The 20,014-nt window shown below is 53.8% G+C and overlaps 1 protein-coding gene and 1 long non-coding RNA gene across 6 annotated transcripts in view, besides 1 other annotated feature; one reads left to right on the forward strand and one right to left on the reverse strand.

Annotated features, from left to right (window-relative positions):
- Positions 1 to 20,014, forward strand: part of CDH4 (cadherin 4) — a 688,357-nt gene that overhangs the window by 454,912 nt on the left and 213,431 nt on the right. The gene's annotated exons all lie outside the window — the stretch shown is intronic.
- Positions 2,053 to 2,221: a silencer, noted in NCBI's record as "fragment chr20:60284281-60284449 (GRCh37/hg19 assembly coordinates)". NCBI's record gives its function as "represses an EF-1alpha promoter that drives an FKBP-Casp9 reporter gene in an ReSE screen in K562 erythroleukemia cells {active_cell/tissue: K562}" and the evidence as "EXISTENCE:reporter gene assay evidence [ECO:0000049][PMID:32094911]".
- CDH4-AS2 (CDH4 antisense RNA 2) lies at positions 10,334 to 12,576 on the reverse strand. The gene is made up of 2 exons (NR_147702.1): positions 12,458 to 12,576; positions 10,334 to 12,214 (listed from the first exon to the last, which is right to left on the reverse strand). It is a non-coding gene; the product is annotated as a CDH4 antisense RNA 2 (long non-coding RNA).

The raw sequence follows: 20,014 nt of genomic DNA on the forward strand, positions 1-20,014 counted from the left end.
CCCTGCTGCTGAGCCAGTGGTCCTGAGCTCCCTGAGGACAGCACCCGCTTTGTCTTCCCACCTGGTGCCCAGGAGCCTGGCATGGTCCTATGCATGGAGGCCCTCTGTCCACATTTATGGGACAAGGAAAGGCCCAACTCTGCCTTCGTCAGTTGCTGCCTGCAGTGTGTGCTTTGCGCGGCTTGGACAGTAAAGGAAACCTGGGCCTGTTATACAGGGAAAGGACATCTTAAACCAAGGCCTTCAGCCCACCAGGCAGCCCCACTGGCTATGTCCTCCCTGGCACCCTGGGGTGCTGGGTGAACGCGGGATGTGGACACGTGTGAGTGCCGTGTAATCCTTACCTGCCTAGAGCTCACAGCATCCTGCCCTGGTGCATAGTGAAAATGTTACCCCATAAAAAAGGGGAAAGGATGCAAAGATCAATAAAAACAAATCCTTCACAACCGTGGTCCCCAAACTTTTTGGCACCAGGGACCACGTTTGTGGAAGATAATGAAGACAATTTTTCCATGGACCATGAGTAGGGGGGACGGTTTTGAGATAAAACTGTCCCACCTCGGATCATCAGGTGTTAGAGTCTCATGAGGAACGCGCAGCCTAGATCCCGTGCACGTGCAGTTCACAACAGGGTTCATGATCGTGAGACTCTGGTGTCCTTGCTAATCTGACAGGAGGCGGAGGACCTGCCAGGAGGCTCTTCCTGTGTCCTGATCTCAGCTCGGGAATGTGTCTGGTGTGTTTGTTTCCACGTTATGCCTGCGGATGACAGGGAGGGTCATGGTGTGAAATCTGGCTTAGGAAGGCGGCCACCAGGCTTTGGAGGGAGAGACAGTGGAGTTTGCATCCACCAGTGCTGAGGAGAGGAGGCAGCCCAGCTGGCTGTGCCCTGGACCCAGGACCTGGGCTCTGCTGGGGGTCCCGGGCTGTGGCGCGTCTCCCTGGGCATAGCCATCACCCAGCACAGCAGTGGTTTCAGGCAACAGCCCGGGAGGAAAACCTAGGAAGAAGGGCTGGTGCTGCCCGCAAGTGCCTGGACCTGCACACACACACAGGGCTGAGTGTAGCGTGGCCAGCAGGGGGTTGACTTTTACCCCGAACCAGATGTACCAAGCACCCCGCTGACTCAGACTCCCCGCCCCCCGCCTACCCCCAGCAGCTTGGTCCCCTCTGCCTCCTAACTGGGTTGGGGCACCACCCTCCACTCTCCACGTTGGCTGCCTCAGTCTGGGTCACAGACACAGGCTTCCCAGCCAGGGCGACTGCAGCATCCACCTCCTGCCACAGTCAGGGGGCTATGGAGAAACCCAATCCAGGCCCCGGGCTCCCAGTTTGACACCCGGCCACACAGCCCTGACTCGTAGCCGGTGGCTGCAGGCTCTTTGCCCCCCACTTCCCCAGCCCTGCTCCCTCCAGCCTCATGCCCCTTGTAGACCCTCTCCACCCTCCTGTGCCTGGAGCCCCTCCCAGACGTTTGCACCCCACCCCTTCCCATCCTTGGGGCTCAGAGAAATGCTGCCTTCTCCGGGGAGGCCCCATCCTCCCCAGCCTCACATGAGGCGGCGCTGCCTCTGCGGAGGCCCCTTCTCTGAGTGTGCATCATGGACGGGCATCTCCTCTGCAGGCTGTTTGTTAGAGATGAGCACAGAAATCAATAGTGGGCATTGGCAGACGTGCAGAACACCCCGCGTGCAATCTTTTCCTGGTAATTTAGTTCTATCGTATTTTACAAAGTATCAGCTTGTGACAGAGATTGGACATTAGAAAACAAAAGGCTGTTCCTTCAGCCAGACGGACGGGCAGCAGACCTGCTCAGCCCTGCCTTCCCCGAAGGACCTCAGGCTACACGGGCAGTGGGGCTGCGGCCCAGCTCAGGCCTGGCTCATGATGGGAGTGTGGAGGACACTGGCTGAGTTCACATCACCCCAAAGCCTCGGGTCCCAGTGGCGTAGCGGCCGCCCAAATGATGAGCCCACAACGCACCTGCCCCTCTCTCCAGGGGAGTGCAAGCAAATGCAGGAAACTGGGGCCAGGCTGGGCCACTGTCAGGGGTTTTGCTGTCCACAAATTTAATCAAGACAGCTGTCAGCAAAAGTCAGACTTATTTATTTATTTATTTTCTGAGAGCGTCTTGCTCTGTTGCCCAGGCTGTAGTGCAGTGGGGTGATCTTGGCTCACTGCAACCTCCGCCTCCTGGGTTCAAGCAATTCTCCTGCCTCAGCCACCCAAGTAGTTGGGATTACAGGCGGGTGCCACCATGCCCGGCTATTTTTTTCTATTTTTAGGAGGGACGGGGTTTCACCATGTTGGCCAGGCTGGTCTCGAACCCCTGGCCTCAAGTCATCCGACTGCCTTAGCCTCCCAAAATGCTGGGATTACAGGCATGAGCCACTGTGCCTGGCAATTTTTGAATGACAATTTTTTTTTTTTTATCGCTGGCTAATCACAGAGTGAGCAGAGGTGCATGGCAGAGAAGGTAGCATGGTTTCCAGAGTAAAGGAGGGCAAATGGCACCCATAAATGGAAGCAATATTGGTGATGCTCCACTCTACACACTTGCCACGTCCCCTGGTCCTCACGAAGCCCAAAATAGCAGGATGGAGCGGGAGGTAGAGGTTCTTTCTTCTTGTTTTCCCACAGATGGCACAAGCTAATTATTCTCATTTGTGTAGCACCTTACACCTCTGTAGATGTTTTTCAGAATGTTGGAAAACAGATGATCACGTCTGTTTTTGTAGCCGTGTGAGAGTTTTTTTCATTAGCGGGATCGGGCAAGACCATCTGTGTGTTGTAGGGAAAAGTTTGCCACCAACAGCGAGTTTAAAACTTTGAAACAGTAACTGAGTGGGATGTTCTTCCCCTGTCCGTGGGCGGCCAGGGTGGGCCTGGGGAATGCAGAATCCTCAATAAATGGATCCAGAATGAACCGAGAACCTCAAAGCCCTGCCGGGCGGGTCTGCATAGCCCTAGGCACTATCACCCCCACTAGCCTCAACTCGGTGTTTTTTCCCAGCCCAGACTAATGATAACCAAGTCAGAGAACTTTCCAGAAAAACTGGTGGCCAGAAGTCCCTCTGCTGGCAGCTGCCTGTGTGTCCTCAAAGAAGTCAGCTCACCTCTCTGAGCCTGGTGTCCTGGCTAAGTGGCTGCCGATTGGTTCTCTGGGCCCCAATGTGAAGGCATTGAGTGCTTGAGTGTCTATGGATGAAGGCGGTACAGGAACTCCCAAGCTGCCAAGCCTCCCAGCCTCTATCTGTGTGCAGGCCCTGAGTCCTCGCTCCTGCGGCAGAGCCCCCCTCCTGGGGAGCTTCAGATGCACGTTCCCACTTCAGTCCACCAGCTGCATCACCATTGATAATTAAAGCAATGTGCGTTGATGAAAAGGGATTTCATCCAGGGAACTCCACAGCCCCTGCCTCTGGGGCCCTGGGGCTGCAAAGGTGATGGCCTCCAGAAGAGCTGGAGGGCCCTGGTGAGGAAGGGGCAAGGGCCCATGTGGAGCAGGGTGCAGGCAGAGCCACGTTCATCCTGACATTCTCAGTGCTGCAGAGACAAGGTGAGCTGATGCTGTTCCAGGCTAAAGAGACCAGATGCTCACTTATTCACTCAACAAACACTTTCTGAGGCCCTACATGCTCAGCCCTGCTCGAAGTGCCGAGAGACCATGCAGTCCTGAAAGGGGGTCCCTGCCCTCATGAAGCGCGCCTGCCGGGGAGAGTGCACCAGATTCCTGTCACTGCTCTAACAAATCGCCATGAGCTCAGTGGCCTGAACATCATAGGCATACGACCTTACAGTTCTCAAGGTCAGAAGCTGATATGGTTTGGCTGTGACCCCACCCAAAATCTCATCTTGAATTATAATCCCTCTAATCTCCACGTGTCCAGAGAGAGACCAGGTGGAGGTAATTGGATCATAGGGGCAGTTCCCCCACTACTATTCCAGCGATAGTGAATGAGTTCTCAACCATGATATTGAGTGCGTTCTCATGAAACCTGCTGGTTTTATAAGGGGTTCTTCCCCCTTCACCCAGCACTTCTCCTTCCTGCCTTCTTGTGAAGGAGGATGTGTTTGCTTCCCCTTCGCCTTCCGCCATGATTGTAAGTTTTCTGAGGCCTCCCCAGCCATGCTGAACTGTGAGTCAATTAAACCTCTTCCCTTTACAAATCACCCAGTCTCAGATATTTCCATATAGCGATGTGAGAATGGACTAATACAGAAGGCTTGCAGGCTAGCCAAGTAGTTGGCAGGCCTGGCTCCTTCTGGAGACTCCAGGGCAGAATCCTGCCTTTCCCAATCCTGGAGGCCACCTGTGTTCCGACTCTGCCTTCTACCCTCAAAGCTAGCAGCACAGCCTCTCCCATCTCCCTCTGACCTTCCTTCCTCCCTCATAAGGACGCTGTGAGGACACAGAGCCCACCCAGATCATCTGGGATAATCTCCTGTCTCAAGATCCTTGACTTAAACACACCTGCAAGTCTCCTTTGCAATGTAAGGTGGCATAGTCACAGGTCTGGGATTAGGATTTGGACATCTGGGGAGGGCCGTTATTCTGCCTGCCCTGGGGGAAGTGAACCATCACCTACTGGCTTGGGTAGCACCGTGTGCGGGGCTGAAACATACAAGATATAGGGTGGAGGGTGAGGACGGGTGGTGGAGGAAGGTGTCTCTGAGGAAGTGGTATTCCAGCTGCAGGGAGGAGGGGGCCAGCCATGGAGACATCTGGGGACAGTCAGTGCAAGTGTCCTGGGGTGTCATCAGCATGACAGATAGCTGTGCACTGAGGTGAGTTGCTGGGAGCCTGTGACAGACACTGCCCCACTCTGTGCAGGAGGGGTCCCCAGGGGGTTGAGCAGCCTTGGCCAGGAGAGAGGGAGGCTGGAGAGAGGCTTGGAGGGAGACTGGGTCAGCCAGACATGGTGGTGCAGGGACGGAGGGTCTTCCACGTGGATGATGGAACTGAGAAGCCAGGAGAGGCTGGTGAGGCTGAGTGGTCCAAGGGGCCGTCTCCACCAAGCCAAGTAAGCTGTGTCCAGACTTTGGACTTGATCCGTGTGGTGGAGTCCTGTGGGCCTTGGGGCCTCCAGGTGGATGGGAAGGAAGGGTCAGCCATGAGCCCTGGAGGCAGTGGGGCTCTGTGGTGGGCTGCCTGGCCAAGGTGGGAGGAGAACCAGCTGATGAGAGAGATGGCAGTCAGGGACAGGGTGTTTGGAAGGTCACACCAGCTCTGGCAGGGCCAACAGTGTTGATCCAGAGAGGACACTTAGCCACTGCCCTAGAGGGGAGAAGGGCAGGATGGGAGTCCTAGGAAGCAGGGCGGAAGGTGCATGGGAAGGTGCCAGCCCTGCCCAGCTCCTCCTCTTCTTCCCTCCCCAACCTCTCCTCCCCTCCTTTCTTCCTCCTCCCCTTCTCTCCAGCTTAAAGCCTGGATCAAATAACTGTGGTGCAAAAAACCAATCCTACAGGCACATCCCTGGCCCTATAGGGGCACCCACTCCAAGGGACAGACCAAAGTCAGGGTATGAGTGCCCAGAAGGCAGCAGGAGCCGTGGCGAGCTGGCTGGGAATTCAGAGGGGCAGCCCCCATCACGGAAGGCTCCCCATGCCCAGCCTCATGCTGGGCCCTGGTTCAGAGCTGGCCCCATGCCCTGGGCCCATGCGGTCCCCTGGGCAGCCCAGGAGAGTGAAAGCTCTGACTCGCCGAGGGTGGTGGGAACTCCTCGTTGACAGGCAGGAAGTCAGTTTGTGAAATGTTAATGTGCTAATAGAGACAAGCAGTAGAAACTTTGCCAGGACACTGGGGATGGCCCTGAGACTCGTGACTTGGCAGTTCAGAGCAGAAGAGCCACAGCTCTAGAAAGCAGGTCAAGTGTCCACTGTCGTTCACTCATGTGGCCAGTTCTGGCCCCATCTTCCCATCTTGACATTTCAGAAGAGCCTTATCCCTCCTCTCTCTGGGCAGATGTGCAAAATATGCAAAAATAAGTAAAGATGCTTTTGAAATGTATCTGCACATCCTCACAAAATGGACTGCATCTGTGTCCTGACCCCTGCATGTCCTCCAGGTTCAAGGTGCACATCCTGTACCCTTTGGAGATGCACTTTGCAATGCTGAGCTTCAAGGTGCATGGGGTGTCTCCACTCCCCCCCAGACCTCCTGCAAGGAGTGAGCTAAGCCATGGGGGTCCCGTGCAAGCAGCCCACCTTTCAAAGATGCACAGAAATGGGTCCTGTGTACTCTAAGCGTGGAACTTTGTTTCTTAGCTTTGTTTAAAGGCACTTTGGACACGTGTTCGTGGGGAAATCTTGGAATTCATCATGCTTGTCTGCAAGGGTCTCTGGGATGCTGAGCTCCCCAGGACGGAGAGCCGTCTCCTCTGCTTATGTAGCAGCACAGTTAACGGTGGATGTGCAGGTGTGAGGGGCCAAAGACTCCCCCAGAAAAGGACAGTCTGTGCTCCCACGCCAGCGCTGAGTGAGGCCCTGGGGCAAGGGCTGCCCCCCACTGCCCTGCTGTATCATATGAGCCTCCGTTTCCCCATGTGAGCAGCGAGGGAGGGGGCTCCCCATGGGCCGCAGCACCACACCTGCCTTTCGTGATACCTCAAAATGGAAAGTTAGAAAGCAGCCCCTACGTGGTTACTGAGACTACTAGAAGCCCATCTGTGGCTTTACCAGTGACACCTTCTCATCAACAAGGCGGGTGTGGGCATGGGACCCCCATGCTCAGCTTTCCCCGTGCAGTGGGCTGATCAGATGTGTGTTCACCCCAGCGGGACTCAGCACATCAGCCTCTATCTGAATGGGAAACATCACTGGAAACCTGTCTTAGTCCATTGTCTATTCTTTTTTTATTTTATTTTATTTTATTTTATTTTATTTTATTTTATTTGAGATGGAGTCTCACTCTGTCGCCCAGGCTGGAGTGCAGTGGCGTGATCTTGGCTCACTACAAGCTCTGCCTCCCAGGTTCACGCCATTCTCCTGCCTCAGCCTCCCAAGTAGCTGGAACTACAGGCATCCGCCACCACGCCTGGCTAATTTTTTGTATTTTTAGTAGAGACGGGGTTTCACTGTGTTAGCCAGGATGGTCTCCATCTCCTGACCTCATGATCCGCCCGCCTCAGCTTCCCAAAGTGCTGGGATTACAGGCGTGAGCCACCACGCCGAGAACCATTGTCTATTCTTTAACAGAACACCTGGGACTGGGTATTCATGATATTTTATTTTTTGTTTTATTTACCTTTTCTTATATATTTTTATTCCAGTAGCCTTAGGGATACAAGTGTTTTTGGTGACATGGATGAATTGTACAGCGGTGAAGTCTGAGATTGTCATGTAGTGGACATTGTACCCAATAGGTAGTTTTTAATCTCTCGCTACCCTCCCACACTCCCCTCTTCTGGGTCTTCAGTGTCCATTATACCACTCTCCATGACTTTGTGCTCCCTAGCTCAGCTCCCACTTACAAGTGAGGACATGGAATATTTGGTTTTCCATTCCTGAGTTACTTCACTTAGAATAATGGCCTCTAGTTCCATCCAAGTTGCCACACAAGATATTGTTTCATTCTTTTTATGGCTGAGTAGTATTTCATGACACATATATATGCTACATTTTCCTTATTTACTCATTGGCTGATGGGCACTTGGGTTGGTAACATGTCTTTGCAATTGTGAATTGTGCTGTGATAAACATACAAGTGCAGTTGTCTTTTTGATGCGGTGACGTCTTTTCCATTGGGTAGATACCCAGTAGAGGGACTGCTGGATCAAATGGTAAATCTTCTTTTTAGTTCTTTAAGAAATCTCCATGCTGTTTTCCATAGAGGTTGTATTAATTTACATTCCCATCAGCAATGTGTGAGCATTTGCTTTCACCACATCCACGCCAACATCTATTGTTTTTTGACGTTTTGATAATGGCCATTCTGTCTAGGGAAAGGTAATATCTCTGTGGTTTTCCTTTGCATTTCCCTGATGATTAGTGATGCTGAGCATTCTTTCCTATATGTGTTGGTCATTTGTATATCTTCTTCTGAGAAGTGTCTATTCATGTCATTGGCTCACTTTTGATGGGATTGTTCCTTTTTTTCTTGCTGATTTGAGTTCTTTGTAAATTCTGCATATGAGTCCTTTGTTGGATGCAGAGTTTGCAAATATTTTCTCAGACAAGGTAATTTATGGAGAAAAGTGTATTTGAGTGACAGTTCTGGAGGCTGGGAAGTCTAAGGCCATGGCTTTGGCACCTGGTGTGGGCCCTCCTGCTTCCTCATACCATGAGGGAAGGCATCACATGGTGACCAGAGAGCTGACTCTTACAACAAAGCCACTCCTTCCATAACAAGCCCACTCCCAAGATAACAACATTAATCCATTCACGAGGGCAGAGCCCTGATTAATCCATTCATGTGGGTAGAAGGATTAAGTTTCCAACTCAAACACATTCAAACCACAGCACCTTTTAAATTTGCCTCTAGGGACAGACATAGGTGGCTCCCTCTGGTCTGAGACCACCCAGCTTTGCCGGAGTCTGGGGACCCCTGAGACTGAAAGCCCTGGGATGTGACTCAGGTCTCAGAGCAAGGAGGTCAGCAGCCTCTTGGAAGTCACAGCAATGCTCATCTAACATGCAGCTTGCCGGCCCAGGTCCCATGCACTGGGCCAGGCCTGAGGGCCATAGCAGGAGCCAGCATTTCTAACATGCTCTCAGCAGGATTGGAGAGCCCCTGCGATTGGGTGGCCCCCTCAGAGACCCCACCTGATGCCACTTTGCCTGACAAAGTTCCACAGCCCCCTCTGGGCTTTCTTCGGCCAGACATGCCTGGCCACACTTCACCGTGGCTCCAGGCAGCAGCAGCCCCAGTGCCAGCTGGGGCTCTGGAGGTGGCTTCTTTTGCTGTCACTGTGCTCGGCTGGAGCTGTAAAGGGGCAGATGCTCCTCACCTGTGAGCCACCCCTTGGCTGGAGCTGTAAAGGGGTAGATGCTCCTCACCTGTGAGCCGCCCCTTGGCTGGAGCTATAAAGGGGCAGATGCTCCTCACCTGTGAGCCGCCCCTTGGCTGGAGCTATAAAGGGACAGATGCTCCTTCCCTGTGAGCCTCCCCTTGGCTGGACCTGTAAAGGGGTGGACACTCCTCACCCATGAGCTGCCTCTTGGCTGGACCTGTAAAGGGGTGGACGCTCCTCGCCTGTGAGCCTCCTCTTGGCTGGAGCTGTAAAGGGGTGGACGCTCATCACCTATGAGCTGCCTCTTGCCCTGAGCTGGGGCTTTGGGGGCAGGACCCAGCAGGAGGAAGTGTCCCATCCTCACTGGAGGTCTGAGTGCTGCTTTTCACCTGTCCACAGGCACCCACTAAGGTAATCCCCATGGGCTTGTCTACAGAATAGTGCAGGCTTGTGTCCCGCAAAGAAAGACTCACCAAAGCCCTTCGCTTCATCTAATAGCTGAGGTTGGATCAAGTGTGGTGTTCACACCTGTAATCCCAGCACTTTGGGAGGCCGAGGCAGGAGGATCATCTGAAGTCAGGAGTTTGAGACCAGCCTGGCCAACATGGTGAAACCCCATCTCTACTAAAAATACAAAAATTAGCTAGGTGTTTGGTGGGTGCCTGTAATCCCAGCTACTAAGGAGGCTGAAGCAGGAGAATTGCTCAAACCTGGGAGGCAGAGGTTGCAGGGAGCTGAGATCCCACCACTGTACTCGAGCCTGGGCAACAGAGTGAGCCTCTATCTCAAAAAAATAAATAAATAATAAATAAAATCCAAGGTCCTTGATGTATAACTGACCTTGAGGCTGTGGAATGTGGTTCTTGGGCAGGCATTCACCAGGTAGAGGAAACCCTCTGCACCCTCGTCATGGCCCACTGGCTGCCAGTGCCAGCAGCTTCTTCCCATCCCTGCTCCTCAGCATGCTGGGCCATGAGCAGGGCAGGGCGTCAGGGCAGGGTGGCAGGAGCAGCTCCTCCTGCTTGGCAGAGATGAGTAAAGCACTCAACATGCACCAAGTCCCCCTTGACTTGTCCCCACTGCTGCTGCTGTCACAGGACAAAGGCAGGGGAGCGGGAGCAGCCCAGGACAGCCACAGGGCCATGAGCACCATGCCACCGGGAGCTAGTGACAACACAGGGTGGACAGGACAGAGAGTGGCCCAGTACTGGGCAGGACCAGCCACAGACGCTGCTGCTCTCTGAGCACGGGGACTCTTTGCAGTGGCGCCCATCACTTGGGCAGCTGGAAGCACAGTTTCCCCCCACAGATATTTCGTGGGGTTTTTTTGGTTTTTGGTTTTTGGTTTTTTGTCGTTGTTTTTTTGTTTGTTTGTTTGTTTTTTTGAGATGGAGTCTCGCCCTGTCACCGAAGCTGGAGTGCAGTGGTGCGATCTTGGTTCACTGCAACCTCTGCATCCTGGGTTCAAGTGATTCTCCTGCCTCAGCCCCCTGAGTAGCTGGGATTACAGGCGCACACCACCACACCTGGATAATTTTGAATTTTTCATAGAGGCAGGTTTTCACCATGTTGGTCAGGCTGGTCTCGAACTCCTGACCTTAAGGTGATCTGCCGGCCTCGGCCTCCCAACGTGCTGGGATGACAGGCGTGAGCCACCATGTCTGATACTTGGTTTTAATAAGTGTGCATCACCGCCCTGCCCCCCGCCCCCAGCCCCCAGTGTGCTCAGGTAGCCGTGAACCAGGTGTTGGGCTAGTTTAGTGGAAGGGACTGACATGGAGACAGGAGAGTGGGCTCTGGCACTGTGAGGGAGGCCGAGGAGCCCACCGCCTGAGGTCAAGTCCTGCCTGTGCCACAGAAGGCCCTGATGTCCCCTACAACCTCACACATCACATCCTCAGCACCCTACCAATGCTGGCCTCTGTGGGTAGCGTCCCCTGTGAAGGGATGCGGCCCTTTACTGTAGCCACGCTGACCTGGTCCCAGAGAAGGCAAGGGAGCACCCACACTGTGGGGGTGGGGCTGGTTAGGACCCACCCGGAAGACTGAGCCGCTGGGTCCTGCTGCCTTCCCCAGGGCAGGGTGAAGGGTATATGCTGTCCAAGGGGCCCTGCCTTCCAGACCCCACTCTGCCTCCGGGGGAAGCCCAAACCTGCCCTTCTCGGCATCCCTGCCTCTCCTGTAAGGCGCTGCCAAGCCACACTCGAGTCACTGTTCTTCCTGGATCATGCCAAGGGTGGGAGCCTGGTCCCTCTGGGTGTTGAAGGAGATAATTCAGGTGTGATGAAAAGGAATGCTCCTCTCTGGCTCTGGACACACCCAACACAGAAGGAGGCAGGTGCCTGCTAAGGCTGACGCTGGTTAGAGGCAGTGCCAGGACAGTGCCGTCCCATATCCCAGGCCGTGCTTCCCTTCCTGGAACAGGCCAACCTCGATCACAGCCAAGCACCACCTGCACAGGCTCACAGGGCAGAGCGCTGCAGGGGCTACCCGACTGGGTGTCCTAAGGTGAACAGAAGCCTTTCAATGGGACATTAACTTGAACCGAAGCCAGAGGAGCCTGCATGACACTGTGTGAATTAGCTTACTCAACTGAAACAGGGCATTTGAGTGCAGGAGACACTAGGCTAACAGGCCACCCTACACCCCTGCACACACACACTCTCACCAGCTGCGGAGGAGGCTGCACCCACCATCCCGGGCTCCCAGCGACAGCTGGCTCTATCTTGGACTTCACTGTTCCTGCTGTCAGGCTGGGGATGGAACTCTCTGTCTGCTGCTTGTTGGAGCTCTTCCAGCCCAGGGTGTTGGTTAGTGGGTGAAGCAGGGGTCTTCTCTCCTCGCCCTGCCCCCTGCCCTGCACCAGATGAAAGAGCACACTCAGCATCACGAGTGGCTCTAAGTGTGATGAGAGAAGGACCCTCCCTGGCCACACTCGTGCTAATAGGAAGTGCTGGCGAAAGCAAATGATCAAAATCGTATCCCAGCCTCTTCATGTCACCTGCAGCCAAATGGCTTTGCATCTGAAAGCCACACATAATTGTCAGCATCCATGGGTTCTAATCAGAGATTTTTTTTTTTAAGTCTTGGTAGTTTTTGTTCATTGCTAATACAGAGAAGGATGCAAGCCACTGTTTAGTGTCTGGATGTAAAAGAACATTTCTGTGCCGTGTGGCCTCATTGCAGAATCTTCCAAGGTACGAGTCAGCCACGGAGGCCTGTGAGGTTTTTATTCCTTGCTTTCAAAAACACAAGCTGTTTTTCCCCTGGAAGAGCATGTAATGTGCAAAAACATTAGCAATATTGCAAAATGCTTGCGTGAAATAACTGTGGAAATATTTCACTAACTACATTAACCTTCGCTGGCTTTTCTTCCCCTCCCAACCCAAAGAGAGATAATTTCTCGGGAGTCTTTATCTCGTTCCTCTGTATAATTGCCGCTTTAAATCACAAAAGCCTTTAGAGTTATGGATGCAAAACGCATGGAGCTATGTTTAGGCTGTGCTCACCTGCAAAGCTGTGCGATCCAATGTCCCCCCAGAAGAGAAACCAAAGGAAGAGCGTGGGGAAAGCTGGTGTCTCTCTCGAGGTGTTTCCGAGCAGCCGTGTTAATATCATACGACAAGATGGGGCCCTGTCTCTCGTCACTTCCTTTTGTTCTTTCCTTCTGAAGAGTGGATAATTCCTGGCAGTTTCTGTTTCGCTTGTAATTGTTTTTTAAATTAAGATAAACCTTGCAGCCCTGACTGTTGAGATGAAGGCGCGGCTGGTGGGGAAGCACCTTGCTTTTGTGAACAGCAGAAAAGGTGATAAGACATTGCGGTGTGCTCCCTCCCAGAGTTTAAGCACCGCAGTTACCACTTTGCACCATGCTCATGGGTGAGCGGGCGTCTTCCTTCTTGCAAGTTCCTCCCATGTCTCAGTAACGGAGAAGGAGGCGGTAGTGGAGGGCAGTCGGCGGTGGGGGTTGGGGAGTGCCGCCTGCTGTTTGGCAGCATCGCCCGTGTGTCTGCAGGGCCCTCCTGCCTTCGGGTGGAGGGCATGTTCACGTAAGTTGACTCATGTTTTGGGCGAACGTTGGTGGTGAGAGGAGCTGAAGTCTCCCCATCTCTCAAGGATGCAGCAGCCAGGTTTAGTTCTGTGCTCTATGGGCCGCACCTCCTGGCCCCCCATCCTGCTCCGGATTCCACAGCTTGGTCTTGACTCACCAGGAAGCAGGGCAGCAACTTGAGAGTGATGCAGGGGACACGTGCAGGGGTGCAGAGTGTAGGGGTGCAGGGGTGCGAAGTGTAAGTGTGTAGGGGTGCAGGGATGCAAGATGTAGGGGTGCAGAGTGGAGGGGTGAAGGGGTGGAGAATGCAGGGGTGTAGGGGTGCAGGGATGCAGAGTGGAGGGGTACAGAGTGGAGGGGTATGGGGTGCAGAGTGTAGGGGTGCAGGGGTGCAGAGTACAGGGGTACAGAGTAGGGGTGTACAGTGCAGGGGTGCAGCATGCAGGGGTGCAGAGTGCCATTCCTAAGCCATCGTCTTGTGTCTGTGTTCTGTGTATTTGCTTGCATGCTTTTCTCTCCAGCGTGATTTTCTGATCCGTGGATACACACAGGCTCCTCCCTATTCAGCTAAACCTCCCAGCTGCCTCTAAAAGCTGGGGATTGTAGGGGTCGGGGAGGCGTGTTCTCTCATTGTACCATCACATTGAATTGTCTCAAACACCCTGCCAGGTAGAGGTGGTTATTTCCCTTTGACATGAGACAGTAACCATTAGCTTGGTGGCTTCCCTTGGTCCAGTGAGTCATTAAACCTGACTTGTTGGCTACAGGCGAGTGCCTGGTGGTTTCTGGGCATTGTGCTTGGTCAGATCCGACGTTCCGAGGGTTCAGCTCTCCAAGGCCACACCATGTGTCCCCCCGGCTCCCTGCCCTGAGCTCCTCCCGAGGTAGCTTGCCACTCTTGCACCCTCCAGTAGCTCTAGCACAGAGTAGGAGCTAAGCGCACAGTGGGACTCAGTGACCTGAAGCGGGAGGTGAATTGAATGCCTCCAGGATGAGTATGTCTCTTCTCAGCAGCCAGAAGGGTCCAGTCCAGAGGCTGCCCTTCACTGAGAGCATGCTTTGCTCTCTAAGGAAAGCCCAGAGCTTTCTTTCACCATCTTCTAATGTGCATTCAGCAGAAGCTGTAACTCACTAGAAATGGATGGAATTAAGGCCAGGCATGGTTGGCCAGGCTGCTGGACAGTCCTCTCCAGAAGAGGAGCCCACCCCGGCCTGGAGGATGGACACCAGGGGCTCTCCCTCTGCCTCCAGCCCTCCTGCTTCTCAGTGTCTAAATCATCAGAAAAAAAATCATTTCTGGTTCATTGACCTTTCTGCAAATTATAATTTACACCCAAGGGTAAAATGTCATATAACTTTTATGCATTTAGCTGGGCTTTTTCACTGCTATCTTAAAAAACAATTCTTTATCAAGACTTCATGTCAGAATTGCACAGGGATAATTACCTCAGGAGAAACGCTTCATTTGCATAATGCACCATGCACATTTCCCCTTGGGGCAGTGTTGTTGAGGGCTGGTGATATGCTTCTCTGGAAGGGGGCATTGGTGAGGCTTGGGGATCGGTCAAGGACCTCGTGAAGTATCAATCACCTCCAAACTGACTTCATTACCAGCTTTTTTCCCCAGCCACAAATTAAATCATCAGAGTGGATATTGGATGGGCAGGAATCTTGACAAATTCCTGCAGGACCCGGCCCGCTGTGTGGCATCCCTTCCCTGGCTGTGGGAGGCTCCATGGCCCACACTCTCCATTGGCCCTTTCAGAGAAATGGGGTGTGCTGGAGAGTGGGGGCCCTGGGCTCTTTCCTGCTCAAGGACAGAAGACAGAAACCTCACAACCTCCACCTTCAGGCACCTCACCGTCCAATGTGAGAGAAAGAACAAACTGAGATTGCACAGAGATTTAGGAAGCCTTTGCAGAGAAACATACAGACAAGCACGCCCCAGGCCAAGAAGAAATGGCAGATTATTTTGGAAGTATCCATTAAAATTACTTCTTTAGATGCAGGACCTGCTTTGGGGTTTTTTTTCTTTGTAAGTGACATTGTATTTATTGCAGAAAAGAAGCCATGGTTGGAAAGTCAGGACTATCTCTCAATGCTGTGGAAGGGCTGCTGATGAACAACAGAGACGACCTCTAGCCCAGCGTGCTGGTCATGCCAGCCGCCGTCATCAGCACTCACTGCTACACACATGTTGACATATCCTTGGCACAGAGCCCACTCATCCTTCCAGAAGTGAGGAAGGATTTCACCTCCTCAGGCCTCTGAAGTTAGAGGCGACCACATGACTTGTCTTGGCCAATGAAATGGAAGCAGGACCCAGGTGCATCCCCCCAGGAGGGGCCTTACCAGGCTGTGTCTAATCCCTTGTGGCCAGTCTCTGCACTGGCCATCGTGGAAGCAGAAAAACAAGCCTCTTCCACTCTGTCCCAAGGACTCTGCAGGGCAGGGCGCCCCCCCACCCCCCACGCATGCACAGTGGACATGTCATGTGCATGGACCAGCATCACGCTCTGCTCTTTCAAGTGACAAGATCTGGGAGCAGTTTGGTACTCCTAACCCAGCCTGCACTGACAGATACACCCTGAATTTCCAACAATGCCTTTCATCCAAGGAAAGCAGAAATTTTGTGGGGGTCCCGTGATCACCTCCCCTCTAGGACTTCTCAGACCCTCTGATGTGCATTGAAAATTTCCAAGAAGAGAGAAGACGTTCCTGGGACGATGCTGTTGTGACCTGAGAGTATCCGCTGATTCTTTCCTCGTGCTCTTTAGAAACAGGATTTGGATCAGGAACGGCCACCACAGACATCCTGGGTCCTGCTTGCTTTGGACTGACCCCTGGCTGAGGAAGAGGACGCTGTAGAAGACATTAGAAAGTGGAATGGTGATTTTCCTTCTGCACAAGGGCAGACCTCACTCTTCATCACCGATCACCATGAGTCTGGTCATGTGTCCCCGACTCCCAGAGGATCAGAGTCCTTGTTTTTCCCGAAGAAGTCCTCAGCAATATCCTCACACGGCTTCATGGAGCCCTGGTCAGCCTGGAGGGAAGTGGACCCTTGGTCTCAGTGGTGGCTGCTCCCCTGCCCAAGGGCAGCCTCACTGGGTGAGGAGCCCCTGCACCTCCTCCGGACCCCCGTCCTGGCTCCTCAGCACCGGGCAGGCCCCTCCCGGGGCCCTCTGAGCACCGTGCGCCATGGGGCAAGCAGTGCAGCTGCCGTTTAAATGAGTGGGTTCTGGCTCTGTCGTTTTCCTCCCCAGGGCCTGCAGCCTCCTCCGGGCTTGGCTTCCCTTTGCTCAAGGCAGGGTTGGCCTGGGCCCTGCTGAGGGACTGGGCATGATGGGCACCTGAGACCCTAGGAGCTTCCATCCTCACTTTACAGATACCCCAAGCACCTGCTCTTCTCGAGGGTTCCCTGAACAGCTCAAAAATGCATGAGAAGTGAACGCACCTGGGACAAGAGGGCTGACAGGGAGAGGTTTCCTGGGCAGGGCTGTGCGGTGCAGAGAGAAGAGAAAATCTATTTGCATTTCCTGAGTTACTTCTTATTTACTCTAGAAAACATAGTTGGCAGCCAACCAGAGTGTGTTTACAGAGGGATCTGGGCTGGGAAAATTCAGGGTCATCTTTGGATTCAGCCCTAGAAACCTGGAAGTGAACATGAGCCAGACGTGCAAGCGGCTGGCGGCTCCATGCGGCAGGTGGGGTGGGTCCCCATGCAGGGGGCACAGGATGGAGGCTCCATGTGGCAGGGGGGTAGGTCCCCATGCAGGGGGCACAGGATGGAGGCTCCATGTGGCAGGGGGGTAGGTCCCCATGCAGGGGGCACAGGATGGAGGCTCCATGTGGCAGGGGGGTAGGTCCCCATGCAGGGGGCACAGGGTGGAGGCTCCATGCGGCAGGGCGGGTGGGTCCCCATGCAGGGGGCACAGGATGGAGGCTCCATGTGGCAGGGGGGTGGGTCCCCATGCAGGGGGCACAGGATGGAGGCTCCATGCGGCAGGCGGGGTGGGTCCCCATACAGGGGGCAGGCAGGGCACAGTTGGGTGGACCCAGCGGGCTCCTCACTGCCCTGCCCCTGCTTCAAGGCAGCATCCAGGCACTTACCGTGCCAGCAGCAGGGCAGCCTCAGACAGGAGCCAGCATAGCCAGCGCCTGTGTTGTAGGTACCGCAGTTCAGAACCCCGTGTCCCGCCAAGACTCCCCATGAAGGCCCTCACTTAGAAAACTCTGGAATGTGTGAGCTGAGTACAGTGGGCTCAGTGAGAAAGCTCAGCCCTGCCCCCTGCACTCCCGTGGAGCCCAGAGGTATTTACCCAACCACAGCCTCAGAGACTGCAGTGTTGGCTCTACCAAAACAAAGGCCCTTCCAGACAGAAGAGGCAGCAGGAAGTGGAGAGATGAGGGTGTCTCCTGCTGCCCCTTCGCCCCGACCCCGGGCTGTACTGTGGCCATCAGGGCTGTCCACTTGGGGGCAGCAGTCAAGATGGGAAGATTCTGTCTTGTAGTCCTTGCCTCAGTCAAGATGGGAAGATTCTGTCTTGTAGTCCTTGCCTCTAAATTTTCCTCCTGATTTGTACACCTGCAGTCAAGGGCAGAGGGTAAAATATTTTCTGTTTGTGTATTTGTTTTTAATTTAAAAAAGAGAGAGGGCCAGGCATAGTGGCTCATGCATGCAATCCCAACACCTTGGGAAGCTGAGGCAGGAGGATCGCTTGAGCCCAGAAGTTCAAGACCAGCCTGGGCAACATAGCATGGCCCCATCTCAACAAAAATAATTAAAAATGAGCAGGGCATGGTGGCAGGTATCCGTGGTCCCGGCTACATAGGAGGCTGAGGCAGGAGAGTCACTTGGATGCAGGAGTTCAAGATGGTACTGAGCTATGATTGTGCCATTGCACTCCAGCCTGGGCGACAGAGTGAGACCCTGTCTCTAAAAAATAAAAAGTAAATTTAAAAAGGTGGAGGAGTGAAGAGGAGCCTCTGTGGAGTCAGTGTGTTGATGACACTCATGTACACATTTCCTCCACCCATTCCTCCTGCTTCAGGGACATCTGTGGCACCGTCCACCTGCACACACCGCAGCGTAGGAAGGGCCTTGCCCCGCACACACCTCCCCGAGCTGGTCATAGACAGTGCACACTGCACAGTACACACGCACATGCATAGGCACCTGCAGCTGGGAAGGGCCAGAGCCAGGACCCAGGTCTGGTCTCTCTGCCTGGAGTTTCTTCCCCTGTGGCTTCGCGCTGCCTGGGAGCAGGGAGCACTGTTCCCAGTATCAACAGGAGCTGCCTTCCTGAAGCTCACCTAGGCCTCAGCTCTCTTTCTCTCAGATGTTTCTGAGAGCTTTGAGAGGAAAAGGAAATTGTGACTCCCTCCAGTCTGAATGGATGAAACTGCCACAGGAATGCTTTTTAAATACAGAAAACAAGAAACACCCCCAAATTGCACTTATGGGAAATGGAGTGCAAGCAGAAACCAACCCTGGACGCCCGTCAAGAGTCGCCCCTACCTCCACCTCTCCAGTGGGCTTTCCCATCTGCAGAGAGACACAAGGGGGGAGGAGGCCAGAGGTGAGGGAGGGGAAGGCGAGGAAGGGGAGGGCTGGGAGGGGAGGTGGCCTCTCAGGACAGCAAAGAGAGCTGTCTCTCCACCTGAGCCTTAATTGCAAGTGATTTCATTAGCTCAGTCCTGATGTGCAAGGCACTAATGAGGGAGGCTTGCGGCTCTAGAAATAGCCTGGCCGGTCCTGTGTCTTGTGTTTGAAAGGATCCACCCCAGGGCCTGGCTTCCCTGAGTCCCAGCTATCAGCTCCAACATCTTTCTCACCACGTCACATGGACAACGTTCAGATATGTGATGGGAGCTTTCAGAGACGACAGGAGCCAGCCCCCAGCCACCACGACCAGGGCCCTGCAGTGGGGAGAGCATGGCATGGGGATAGTCTCGGGGGGGACTGTGGTGAACCCTCTCCACTCCTGCAGCAACAAGTGTGTCTGGGTACCCCCAGTGGCCCAGGGCTGATGCCACAGAAGAAACAGGAGCCGAAAAGCAGCTGGGAGCCGCCAGTGACCATTGGCACCAGCACAGGCCAGGTGCCTCATGGTGGAGTGAGTTATCCCATGAGCCAAGCCTGGGGTATTCTCTGAGGTGCCCTGCGGTGGTTTCTGCTTGGGAACCCCCTCCTCAACTGATACATCTTGAAGGCAGAGACTACATTTCGGAAATCAGGGTGTGCTGGGTGTTTATTTCTCAGTGTGTCCATATGTAAAATGGGGTGATAGTAGTCCCAGCCTAAGGGCATTGTGGGGACCTAGTGAGGTGCTCTGTGTCTCGAGTTTGGTACATTCCCAGGCATGTGGTATGGGCCAAGTAAGCAAGAACTGCCATCATCATCATTATGCCATCACCACCATTGCTGCCATCATCACCATCACTGCCATCATCATCACCATCAGTCCCATCACCACCATCATGACCATCACTGCCATCATCACCATCAGAGCCATCATCACCATTGGTGCTATCATCATCACCATCGCTGCCATCATCACCATTGCTGCCATCATCGTCACCATCGGAGGCATCACCATTGCTGCCATCATCGTCACCATTGGTGCCATCATCACCATTGCTGCCATCATCACCATCACTGCCATCATCACCATCACTGCCATCATCATCACCATCGGAGGCATCACCATTGGTGCCATCATCATCACTATCAGTGAGATCATCATCAACATTGCTGCCATCATCACCATCAGAGCCATTATTACCATCAGTGCCATCATCGCCACCATAGGTACCATCATCATCACCATCAGAGCCATCACCATTGGTGCTGCCATCATCACCATCGCTGCTATCATCACCATCACTGCCATCTTCACCATTGCTGCCATCATCATCACCATTGGAGCCATCACCATCGTTGCCATCATCATCACCATCAGAGCCATCATCACCATCAGAGTCATCATCATCAACACTGGAGCCATCATCA

Source organism: Homo sapiens, chromosome 20, assembly GCF_000001405.40.
Source record: "Homo sapiens chromosome 20, GRCh38.p14 Primary Assembly".
Taxonomy (NCBI): Eukaryota; Metazoa; Chordata; class Mammalia; order Primates; family Hominidae; genus Homo; species Homo sapiens.